Source organism: Homo sapiens, chromosome X, assembly GCF_000001405.40.
Source record: "Homo sapiens chromosome X, GRCh38.p14 Primary Assembly".
In the NCBI taxonomy this organism is placed as follows: Eukaryota; Metazoa; Chordata; class Mammalia; order Primates; family Hominidae; genus Homo; species Homo sapiens.
Genome location: NC_000023.11, coordinates 136,166,181 through 136,178,763, shown reverse-complemented (window position 1 = coordinate 136,178,763; position 12,583 = coordinate 136,166,181). Strand labels below are relative to the sequence as shown.

General features: G+C 40.9%; 1 protein-coding gene across 16 annotated transcripts in view; it reads right to left on the bottom strand.

Moving 5' to 3' along the window:
• Window positions 1-12,583, bottom strand: part of FHL1 (four and a half LIM domains 1) — a 64,658-nt gene that overhangs the window by 32,596 nt on the left and 19,479 nt on the right. For 13 of the 16 annotated variants that reach the window (NR_027621.2, XM_047441926.1, NM_001159702.3 and 10 more), the window contains exon 2: window positions 8,784-8,857. The gene's annotated coding sequence lies outside the window, so the exon portion shown is untranslated. Of the gene's footprint in view, window positions 1-8,783; window positions 9,469-12,583 lie in introns of those variants that run through there. The other 3 variants (NM_001369328.1, NM_001167819.1, NM_001159704.1) reach the window with 3 other exon arrangements.

Here is a 12,583-nt window from a genome sequence, read left to right as displayed (position 1 = left end):
AAAAAAGAATAGAAAAAGAAATGGTCCTCTCACACATGGTTTAAGAGATGTCCACAGACTCACAAAGACCTCAAACCATTGTTTTTCTGCTTTTCTACTTAGGTGAAGAACTGTTCTTTGGTTTGGGTTTTGTTGTTGTTGTTGTTGTTGTTTTGTCTGTTTGTTTTTTTGACAGAGTCTCACTCTATCACCCAGGTTGGAGTGTAGTCGTGCGATCTCTGCACCCTGCACCCTCTGCCTCCTGGGATCAAGCGATTCTCATGCCTCAGCCTCCTGAGTAGCTGGGACTACAGGCGTGAGCCACTGCACCCAGCCTAAGAACTGTTAAAGAACTAATTGTTTATCCAATAATTAGGTATCCTTCAGTGAGAGATGCTCTACAAAGCACAAAGCTTATCTGGCTGATAAGACAAGACAATGAGGCTACTATTCTAAATACATTTTTATATATTTCCTCCTTTTTATTTTAAATTGATCCCTACAGTTGTTCAAACAAAATTGAAATATCAATAATGAAATACATAAATTATAACAATTATTAGCACAGTTCACCACACTGGGCTTTCAACATGTGATATAAGGTTGATATGATAATAATGATGATGACAATGATAATGATGATGATAAAAGTGCCATTCTTTCTCAAGCATTATTAAGGACTTCAGGCCTTAACATTGTGATTTCCATAAAAGCTTTGACCCCAGCTATGCTTACTGTACTGATCATAATAAAATTTGTATGACTTAGCTATGACCTTAATCTAACAAATATTCTACGTCCACGGTTATAAGACAAGTGAGTCAAGGTTTCAAACTCAGAAGTTAAGGAGCATCCAACATTCATCTCCCAGGCATGGTTCTCTCTTACAAGTGAGCATCTGTTGTTGGCTTCTCAAATCTTTGCCTATTAATAGGAGCGTTCATGATGGACAAAATCTTACAACAACTTCCATATGCACTGAACTTTTATGATGTTCAAAAACCTTACTAAGTAATCACAAGTTCCTATTGGGCTTGAACTAAACTTGATGACAGATCTGAACTCTAATATTTTATACTTGGGGAGTAAGGACAGAAGAGGACTTTTGTCACTTCCCTTGCCTCAGTCTCTGTGCAATACTTGATAATCAATCATTTACTGACTCCTTTGTTTTGGGGTTTCAAAGAAAATTCACATGTGAGCTTATTCTTAGAGAAGCTGAAAAGACCTGTAAACAGATGAACAAATTAGTAAATTCTTACAGCTGGAATGTTTTTATAAGTCTCAAAGCACCATACAGGAGAAGAGAAAAAGTTTTAAAGGCTCATTTGAACCAACTGAAGTCCAAGATGGTTTGACTCTACCTACCTTAGAGATCAGATATCTATGTCCTCATTTCACATCAATTGTGAAGATGGAACACTAGATTTGAACTTAGCTGTCCAAATCTGACTTCTTCCATGAGAATCCTGGTCAAACCCAATCTTTATTGTGGACTTCCATGGCACAATTTAATACACTTGAACTCTGAAATATGGTTCAAACATTTATATGTGTGCAAATTTATAATCCTGTAATGGGTAAAGGAGATACTTTTAAAAAATAAAAACATAATGTCCAGTCAATGGTTCCATTGATTTGGTATTCTGACAAAAGGTTCTCTTTACAGACAGTTCATTCACATTAACTAAATAATACTTTATTTCACTAAAAAGAAAAGTATTTCCTTGAGACATTATGTGTGTGTGTGTGTGTGTGTGTGTGTGTGTGTATTTCTACATGACTTCTTAGCTTTCTTTACAACCACAATGGGTACTCTGGTTGAAGACTGTGTAAGAATCAAAGACTAGAGATTCCACTTTTCGAGAGTCCAGTTAGGACCCCTTTTCTAAGTGAGACAGTTTCTCTCCTCAAGTGAAAATGAATTCTTTCTAAATCAGAGGCTGGGAAAAGTTAGGAGATGTTACAAGAGGTCAAAACTAAGTCCATTAAATCCCAGACCCAGATTTAGTCACCATAGAGACAAGGGAGATAAATAAACCAGTAACCTTAACAAATGTGCTGCACCTTTGCCAGACATATCTCTGACTTGCCATTATTTTTACTTAAGTATCTTTCAGTCCAAACATAACTGACTCTGAAGACTACAAAACCAAACAGAACTAGGCCCAACAGAAATACGAACACTCACTGAAGCAAAGGGCAGGCAAAAGAGGCAAAAGCCATCCCCCACCCTTAGCAATGTGCTCTCCGTTCCCCTTGAAAAACTATTGCAACATGAAGCTCCAGAGGCAATGACATATGGGGAAAATATGTGGTGCCAAAGCCAGAAGAAACCATGTCAAAAAAGAAAAACAGACATGAAGTAACTGACCTAATTAGAAAAGAAAAGTGTACTTACAGCAGAGAAACAAGTATATCTGAAATAGGGAATACAGCTGAAGGTGAGAGGGACTGCTGTAAGGAGGCTCATGACCTTAAAGCCAATTTTTGTTGCTTATCTAATGGAAATCAGAAGATGAAATGGGCTTGCTCTTGAGCTGTAGCTCCATTAAGATGTTCCTTAAGTGGACACTGGACCTTTAAACATGAAAATTCATTCCCTGCCTGGCACTGCTAGACATTCATTAAAAGCTCTGAAACAAATATTTATACTTGGTGTCATGTGGTATATACCAAGATGCCTCTACCAACCACCAAATACGGAAGAAAGAGAAATGGGGGCTCTGGATGATGAAACACAACAAGCGAGAAGGAACTAGAGCACTGGAACCCCATGTTTAGGCTCTAGACAGGAGTCCTCATGTTTCTTGGTTACTTACTAAGCACTCTGTGATAGATTAGAATATCCGGCTTGTGATATGGAGTTAAGTACATAAAAGTGGAAGATTCTCAACATCTAAGTAATAGCAAAATGTACAAACAACATCACAACATGAATACAACTTCAAATAAAGTGATACTTACATTTTTTCCTTGTGCCTTCTAGTTCTTGTCCACAGGTACATATCACTTTGCAAGTTACAATCACAGCATATATACAATTTTGCATCCTGCATTTTTTAGTAAGACTGTATTATACAAATTCTTTCATATTGCTAATGTAAGTGTGAAAATTATAATTAACAGATTCATGAAATTCCACTGCATAGATGTATCATAATCTACTCAATCAAAACTATTTATTGAATAAATGAACTATTTTTTTCACATTAGACATTTAAATTCTTTCTTTTTGTCCTCACAAATAACACTGTGATGAATGCTTACACAGCTTTTTTTCTTTTCTTAGAATAATTTGTTTCTCAGAACACATTTCCCAAAGTATGATTACTAGATTAAAGGGTACCAATCTTTGTGCCTTTAGGCATATATTGCCAAACAATGTTCCAAAAGGCTTTGTACCAACTTACTTTGCTACCAGCAGTGAATAAGTGCATATCCATTTCAAGTTAACCATATTAACATTGTGTTTTCTTTTTGTAATTCTGCTAACTTAGTAAAAGTGTGCCTTGCTGACGTTCAAATATGCTTATCTTTGCATACCAGTGAGGCTGAGTGTTTTCCATGCATTTCTTTACATTGTGATATAACTTGAGTGTCTTTTACCCATCTATCAATTGGATAATTCATTCAGCCAACAGTTAGGAAGCACCTACCACGTGCTAGGCCTGTGCGCACCTTTCTTACAATCTGTATGAGGTCTGTGCATGATATAGAAATTATGTATCTTGTCATCTGTGCCACAGATTTTTCCTGGTGTGCTTTTTCATTTTAATTATACTTTTCAATATAGGACTGTATATATTTGAAACTGTTGATTTCTTTCTTTCCAACTTTTTAAAATCATTTTATAGCTTACAAGGTTATCATATAACCAGGGATTTGATAATTATCCTATTTTCTGTGGTCTGATTTACAAGTTTGCTAACAGCCCCATATTTTCCTAAAATTAAAAGCTCTAATCCCTACATTTCATGATTCCTGAGCATATCTAGCTTTTTTTTTACCAGAAGCACTTAATTTAAAACAAATTTTAAAATCAGAGTTAGATTTATCTTTCCCATGTGCTATACTGTATTGAAAATAATTGATTTTTCATCTCCTCTGCTCCAACTCAAAGTAGATCCAGATTTATCTGGGAAGATTCAACCCAAAATACCCTGGTTCGTATCTCTTTTTCTTTCTCAGGCTAGAGAAAAGTGAATGTTCTAAACATTAGCACCATCACTGCCTGACTGATTTTTCTTAGGATTGCTTTTAGAGTCCCCTTGCTACTCAAAGAGAGGGAGGTCCTCAGATCAGCAGTGGTATAACCTGGCGCTTGTTGGAAATGCAGGATCTCAGGCCCTACTCTAGACCTGCTGCATCAGAATCTGCACATTAAAGTGTGAGAAGCACCAAAGTAGACTACAGGAATCTGCCAGAATAAAATAAATCACCCGTACCTGTCGATGTATCCTTTTCTTAATCAGGTACCATCATCAGAAAGTAACCTTCCTCTGAAATGTTTGCCCTCAACCCTTTTAAAGCACCTCCTTAATATGACTGTCACCCTATGTCGTGCCCCTGAAAATTAGCAAGCTGATATCTTGAGAAAAAGGATGACCTTAAGTTTGCAACCTCAATTTTATCTAGACCTGGGATTGAAAACTCACATGTCTATAGGGGTTAAACATTCAGATAATGGCAACCAACCCTTGTCCTTAGTGTCAAGGAGATTACAGATACTGCCAGAGACTGTGGCAAACTTCAGAGTTCATGCTCTAGCTAAAGAAACAGCAGCTGGCTAGGTGCGGGGGCTCACGCCTGTAATCCTAGCACTTTGGGAGGCCGAAGTGGGCGGATCACAAGGTCAGGAGATCCAGACTATTCTGGCTAACATGGTGAAACCCCGTCTCTACTAAAAAATACAAAAAATTAGCCGGGCGTGGTGCGGGCACCTATAGTCCCAGCTACTGGGGAGGCTGAGGCAGGAGAATGGCGTGAACCTGGGAGGCAGAGCTTATAATGAGCGGAGATCACGCCACTGCACTCCAGCCTGGGTGACAGAGCGAGACTCCATCTCAGGAAAAAAAAAAAAAAAAAGAAAAGAAACAGCAGCCATTTGGCTCCAGCCTAGTGTAGCCAAACAGGAGTGAGGGCTCAATATTGCCAGATCTTCTGATATTTCAAGAGAAGCTGAAAAATTTGGACTTCAAAAAATATGAAACCTTTCAATTTTTAAATGCTGGCAATTAAAATTTTAAAAGAACACCTCTGTGTGCCAGATCCAGCCCATCAGTTTGAGACCTTGGCTCTAAAGTGATGGTTTCCAAATCCTCTAAGTCTGTGTAACCCATCTGTGCTGATTCTCCTTCTTATTGCTAGTGCACCAAGAAGAGAGGTTACATCAATACAAATGGCACAGATCAAATCACTTTGACTACTGTATTTCAAAATTTTGTGTTTTGTGAATATTAAAAAACTGCCAAATCAATAATGAAAATGACCATATGTCAGTGATACAAATATCTCCTACATGTGAAACACATGTTTAATTAACAATATTGTCACTACTATGGTACAAATACTCAAATTTAGCCCAGTTCACGTATGTGTTAAGAATTATGTGTTCAAGCTTGTGTTCCAAATAATTCTGTAAACTAAAAGGCAGCCAAATGGAATAATTCTAAGTTTCTGAATAATAAAGTTTATCTATGATAAATACTGTATTAAAAGGGGACACACCATCACTTAAAAGAACAAAATAGGCCGGGCATGGTGGCTCACGCCTGTAATCCCAGCACTTTGGGAGGCCAAAGCAGGCGGATCACTTGAGGTAAGGAGTTCGAGACCAGCCTGGCCAACATGGTGAAACCCCGTCTCCACTAAAAATACAAAAATTAGCTAGGCATGGTGGCACGCATCTGTAATCCCAGCTACTTGGGAGGCTGAGGCAGGAGAATCGCTTGAACCTGGGAGGTACAGATTGCAGTGAGCCGAGATTGCACCACTGCACTCCAGCCTGGGCGACAGAGTGAGACTCCGTCTCAAAAAAAATAAAAAATAAAAGAACAAGATATCCTCATGTGGAAACAGCAAAGCCCATTTTACTAAACTATTCAATTATTCCAAACAAACGTTTTAAAAATAGAGTGTGAAACGCACAGTTTACATTTATTTTCATTTTAGGGCCTTCGGGTCCCAGGGACAGCTGCATCCATGGCAATTACTGAATACTTTATTTGCACATGCTTATATGGAAGTGGCATAAATCATAGGCTCAAAGAATAGAGTAGAGATGGGGACTTGGAACTGTACCCCTGCATCCATACCTGTCTACTGAATACTGGGCAATGTAATTGAGAAAAGCAAAGCAATTTTCAGTTTCCTTGTCTGCAAAAGAGAAAATAATCTAGGCATGTCCCACCCTTGAAGAATATCAAACCCAAAAGGTATTTTTTTGTTGTTTTTGTGCTCACCACTACATTCCTGCCCTGGCCCATAGTAGGGCTGAATGAATGAATAAAAGAAAGGAAGAAAGAACACCAGATGCAGTTGTGTAATCCTATATATTTCTGTTACATGGAAACAGAATTTAACAGATTTGGCCGGGCGCAGTGGCTCACGCCTGTAATCCCAGCACTTTGGGAGGCCAAGGAGGGCGGATCGCTTGAGGCCAGGAGTTTGAGACCAGCCTAGCCAACATGATGAAACCCTGTCTCTACTAAAATTACAAAAATTAGCCAGGCATGTTGATGTAGAGACGCTTGTAATCCCAGGTATTTGGGAGGCTGAGGCAGGAGAATTGCTTGAACCTGGGAGACGGAGGTTGCACTGAGCCAGATCGCACCACTGCACTTGCACCACTGCACTCCAGCCTGAGCGACAAAGCAAGACTCCATAAAAAAAAATAAATCAATAAAAAATTTAAAAAAATAAAAAAAACAGAATTTAGCAGATTCTATTCAACTGACACACCTGAGAAACTCAGTGCTTTAAAAGAAAACCCAAGGATACCAAGTTTTGGTCAATGTAAAGATGTCACTGGGGTGTGCTTGGTATCATAAAACCACTTGAAATGTGTGCTTGAAAAACTTCGATTTAAATGTTCCACTTTAAGAACACAGCCCTTTTACACATGGTTTCTATCAAAGTTTTCTGCTGATGAAGCTGATTGAATTTGCAGATTGCTATGGAATTACTAAGGGCAAACAATGCATATGCATAGTCAGGTCTCACCTAGCTGGCATTTCCAGCTGATGAGAGGATGTCTTTGTATCTCCTTAAAGAATCTTTATATCTTTCTCTCTCCCTTCTTTATATCTCCTTAAAGAATCTAGCCTCTTCTGTGGGAAAATAAAAATAAGAGCTGGGAAAGGGCACAGAGCTAAAATCTCTGCTCTTTCAATAGGGTTCACCCTTAGAGGAGGGTGACAGAGAGTCACAGCCTCCTACTTGAGCCAAAGCAGTTCAGCTTTGGTTTTCTCTATTGGGGTTAGATCTAAAGATTTGTATTTTTTGAAGATAGGTTTCTATCATTTTTTTTAAGTTTGAAAACAACCATTATAGGTAAAGGCTATGAATGAGAGCTATGGCAGGATTTAGACCCAGAAATGAAGATTCCATCTCCAGCAGCAGAGGGAAGCTGCTGAAAGCTTGTATCACCGAGCTTGCTTCAAGCCCGAGGGCCTTGGAAGGACTTCCGACTACCACCATAATTGATGAAATGGATAAAATTCAGGTTTAGCATTTCTAAAAGTTTGTCCTATGCTTTTTACTCTTTAAGGTTTAATACATTTAGGTATTTGAAGATATATATTTTAAAACCTGGGGAGAATTCTGTAGCAAGTAGACATAACAAAGGCAATTCTTGTCACCTGCTGAGCATGTACCCTAACTGAAATCTAAGTACCTACACTGACCATGTGGCTGCATGCAGGGGTGGGCAGGGTGAAGGTGAAGGCAAAAACGCAGCAACCTTTTGAGGGATGAAATGGCAAAGCCTGACAGGTATGGTGCTGGCAAAGGTTACATTCCCTCTTGTGAGCGCACAGAGACCGGGGCACCAAAAAGGAGGGACCATTACTGTATCGTGCCTGGATGAGCCTTCTCTTAGATTCCTTCATTATTTTCAAAGGTCAATGTCCCTCTCTCAAAGAGAAAATTGAGGAACCCTGAGTCATCACAGAGTATAAACAAGCCACTGTGGCTAAATGAAGAGGACAGAGAACGCTTATCCAGTATAAGCATTCTTACACTGGCTTCCCACAGGTTGTTCTGAACTTGAGGGCAAATCAGAAGAAAATCTCCTGGACCCTATTAATGTCACCGAGCAGAAGCACTCTTTGGCCTTCTATCACCAGATTTTGCAATGCCAGTCCTGCACCTTGGCTCCTTCCACCCAGGGAGAAAGATTCCTAATAGCTGATCAGGTCAGCCTAACCTTCTCGTGGCTGGCAGCAGGAGTCTCCTCTGTCCCATCCCAGCATTTGCTCCATGCAGCTTTCCTGCTCCCTACTGTTCGTGCAACGACATGAGCAGATCTTTACTTTAAAGCAGACATTCAAATAGTTCTGTTGTGCCTGGCAAATTCCCTTTTCATATGCCCAAGTTGAAAGCAAATGAGATTTTCCCTTGAAAAGACATTGCCCCCGAGAGCTAATATTTAGGGTAAGCAGTGACATTGGTTGAGTCAATTAAAATGAACCTTCTGAAACCTCCTGGTACAAATAAAGCCCTTTGTACAATGCCGCCCCTAATACCACAACTTAGAAGGTTGGAGATCAGTGTAAGAATTTGTGGCAATTAGTAAAACTTACCTCACGCTGGATGTGTGGCAGATAGGATGTATTCGGCAAAGGCTGGATATGGTTGAAAACAACTTCCAAGGTGCCTAAGTTAGGGAAAAAAATGAGAATCAAGAGGCAAAGTTACCTTTTTAGAAGCAAAGTTCTGAATTCTAAAAAAATAAAGTCAACTTCCTATGAAATGGCTCATGGTAACACATTCTACTTTGTATTTACAACCCTTAGAGTTAAAGGAAAACTGCCAAGATGTTCTGCATACTTCTCCAAATGTCTGTTTATCATATAACATGAGCACTGGCAGTGGATCTGGCTCCCTCATTATCAAGCCGTATTAGCTCAAACACTCAGCATTGTTAGGGGAGTGAGCTCATGGCCTATTTCAGTTTTAAATTAACATTTGGCAATCACCCGGGTAATCAAAACAAATGACTCAGTCGTTTAGAATAGATTTATTAGTTGAGCCTTTTTTTTTCTCTCTCTCTCTTTTAACATCTTTAGAATATTTTGCCACAGGAGGGCTCTGATCCAGCCAGAATGTAGAGCACAAGTCACTAGAGGAATATTTAGAGGGGTTGCCATGGAGACGAGGTGCCCTGTGACCGCTGAAGTTATCTCCAATCAACAGCAGGATTAGGATGCAGACTAGCGGGCAGGCTCATCCCAGGACGAGGGTTCTGCAGCACTAGGAAACAGGTGTGCCTTGTGCCGTTCCCAACCCTGACACAAATATGGCCCGCTACGACATGCTGCCCTCCTCAAGCCCGTGCGACCTCCCCACAGGCCCATTCGCATCACTGCCTTCCTCCCCCAATCCCTCGACCTTTATTCAGAAAGGACTGGCTGGGGCAAAGGAGAAAGGGAGTGTGATCACTGTATTATCCTAAAAGTGTGAAATCCTAGAATTCACACCAAATGCCGCTTTTAGATCAACTATGAAAATGTACATGAGCGAATGAAATCTGAGGAAAAGACAGTGCCTTGGGCGGGGGACCCAGTCTGTTTTTTCACTACTCTGCCCCAACACCCAGGTCAGTGCCTGTAACACAGGAAGCTCTCAAGAAGTATAGATGGAAACAGGGCAAAAATAAACCAAGGATTACAACCAGGTGTGTAACCACCCCTCCCACCCTATGCTCAAACCATTTCCAGGCTGATCGTCACACAGGCAGTGGATATAAATGGAAAAACTGTTAATGTGCTGGTAAATAAACAGCTGAGACTGTTGGTTCACTAGGCTAATGAGTTCATCTCTTTAGAGATCCTGACGACGATTGTCAGGATCGTTGTCAGGAAGAAAAGGCTGAAGATAATGCTTCCCAACTCAAAATGGATGAATCTGCTGACTATAGGGACAGGGTTCTTGTTTGCCAGGCCAAAAGCCTGGAGGAAGACAAATTTTGTGCCCATGGTGAAGCGCTAACATTTGAAAGCAAATGTTTTAAAGTGACTTAATTCAAAGGAACATCTTCCAGTCTTCCTCCCACCTGTACTTAAGTAGAGACAGTATCTTCATATTCTATCATATGAATCTGGATTGTTTCATGTTAGGTTTTCTTTGTCCGGTAAAATGTTAAGTATCTTGGTGTCAGGAAGAAATATTTCTTATTTCATTTCTATCTCCTAGTATTTAGCATGGTATGTTTACACCAAAGGCTTTACTCCATCTCATCTCCCACCACCACACTCCACTCATATAGAACTCACTGCTTCTAGAAGATTCCACACCCTTTCGTGCAGCTACAGGAGGAATGCAGCAGGGCACAGCTCTTCACAGCAGGGGCACCAGAGTCAGACTGCCTGAGCTCAAATACCGGCTCCGCCTCATATTAGCTGTCCAGCCTCTATGAGCATCATAATGGCCACCTACCTCATAGAGGTAAGGACGTACGTCCATGTAAAGCATTTAGCAGGGCCTCCCCCACACAAGGTACCCATTGAATGTTAAATACATACTTACTACTATTATTACAGCAGGCAAAAAGTCAAACTGTTATCAAACGTGGATAATGATTTCACATGCCACCACAAACGCCTGATACCAAATATACCTCTCTTTCGATTCAATCCAACTGAAGCGTCAAACCTGAATCTGTCACACACTAGTCTTATCATATTTCATCTAATTCACCCTTCTGGAATTGATGTTTCCTAGAGATGGGTACAATTCATACCGATTCTACTTGACGGAATCCGGTTCTCTTTTTCAAGAACCGGAATCACTTCCTTCCTAAGATTCCCACCTTGCCAATAGCTTCCCTGCCATCTCTCTGTCTGTTCCTCACCTCTGCACATTCCAGCTTGGAAGGGCTACAGGTGGGGAAAGGACAGGGAAAGTGTCTTCTAGTAACCAGACTGGGACTCTGGCTATTCTTTCCAGAAAACATTTTCATATTCTATCATATGAATCTGGACTGGTTCATGTTAGGTTTTGTTAGTCCTGTAAGATGTTAAATATCTTGGTGGCAGGGGCAAAGAAATGTCTTATTTTGGCTGGGTGTGGTGGCTGGCACCTGTAATCCCAGCACTTTGGGAGGCTGCGGTGGGTGGATCACGAGGTCATGAGATCAAGACCATCCTGGCCAACATGATGAAACCCCGTCTCTACCAAAAAAATACAAAAATTAGCCGGCGTGGTGGCGTGTGTCTGTAGTCCCAGGTACTCAGGAGGCTGAGGCAGGAGAATTGCTTGAACCTGGAAGGTGGAGGTTGCGGTGATCTGAGATCGCACCACTGCACTCCAGCCTGAGCGACAGAGCAAGACTCCATCTCAAAAAACAAAACAAAAAAATCTCTCATTTCGTTTCTATCTCCCAGTACTTAGCATGGTATGTTTACACAAAAGGCTTTACTCCATCTATTCTCCCACCACCACACTCCACTCATATAGAACTCACTGTTTCTAGAAGATTCCACACCCTTTCGTGCAGCTACAGGAGGAATGCAGCAGGGCACAGCTCTTCACAGCAGGGGCACCAGAGTCAGACTGCCTGAGCCCAAATACAGGCTCCGCCTCATATTAGCTGTCCAGCCTCTATGAGCATCATAATGGCCACCTACCTCATAGAGGTAAGGAGGTACGTCCATGCAAAGCATTTAGCAGTGCCTCCCCCACACAAGGTACGCATTGAATGTTAAATACATACTTACTACTATTATTATAGCAGGCAAAGAGTCAAACTGTTATCAAACGTGGATAATGATTTCACATGCCGCCACAAACACTTGACACCAAATATACCTTTCTTTCGATTCCATCCACCTTAAGCTTCAAACCTGAATCTGTCACACACTAGTCTTATCATATTTCATCTTACTCACCCTTCTGGAATTGATTTTTCCTAGAGATGAGTACAATTCATACCGATTCTACTTAATGGAATCCGGTTGTCTTTTTCAAGAACCGGAATCACTTCCTTCCTAAGATTCCCACCTTGCCAATGGCTTCCCTGCCATCTCTCTGTCTGCTCCTCACCTCTACATGTTCCGGCTTGGAGGGGGTGGTGGGGAAGGGGCAGGGAAAGTGTCTTCTAGTTACCAGACCAAACCCTGGCTATCCTTTCCAGAAAGTCCTTGCATTTCATGTTCTCTGACACCCTCCAGAGGGCAGAAGAAAGAAAGGCCCAAAGGCTGAGGAGGCAAAGCTCTCACATGGGATTCAACTCAGACTCATGCTGGAGCAGTCTTCGTTCCATAGTTCATGGTTTCACCACCCAGAATTAGTCCACAAAGGAGAAAAATTGACAGTCAGATCTGAACTGCCTTTGTATCTCCATTTCACTTTATCATCTGTACTAGCATGTCCCACTTAACAT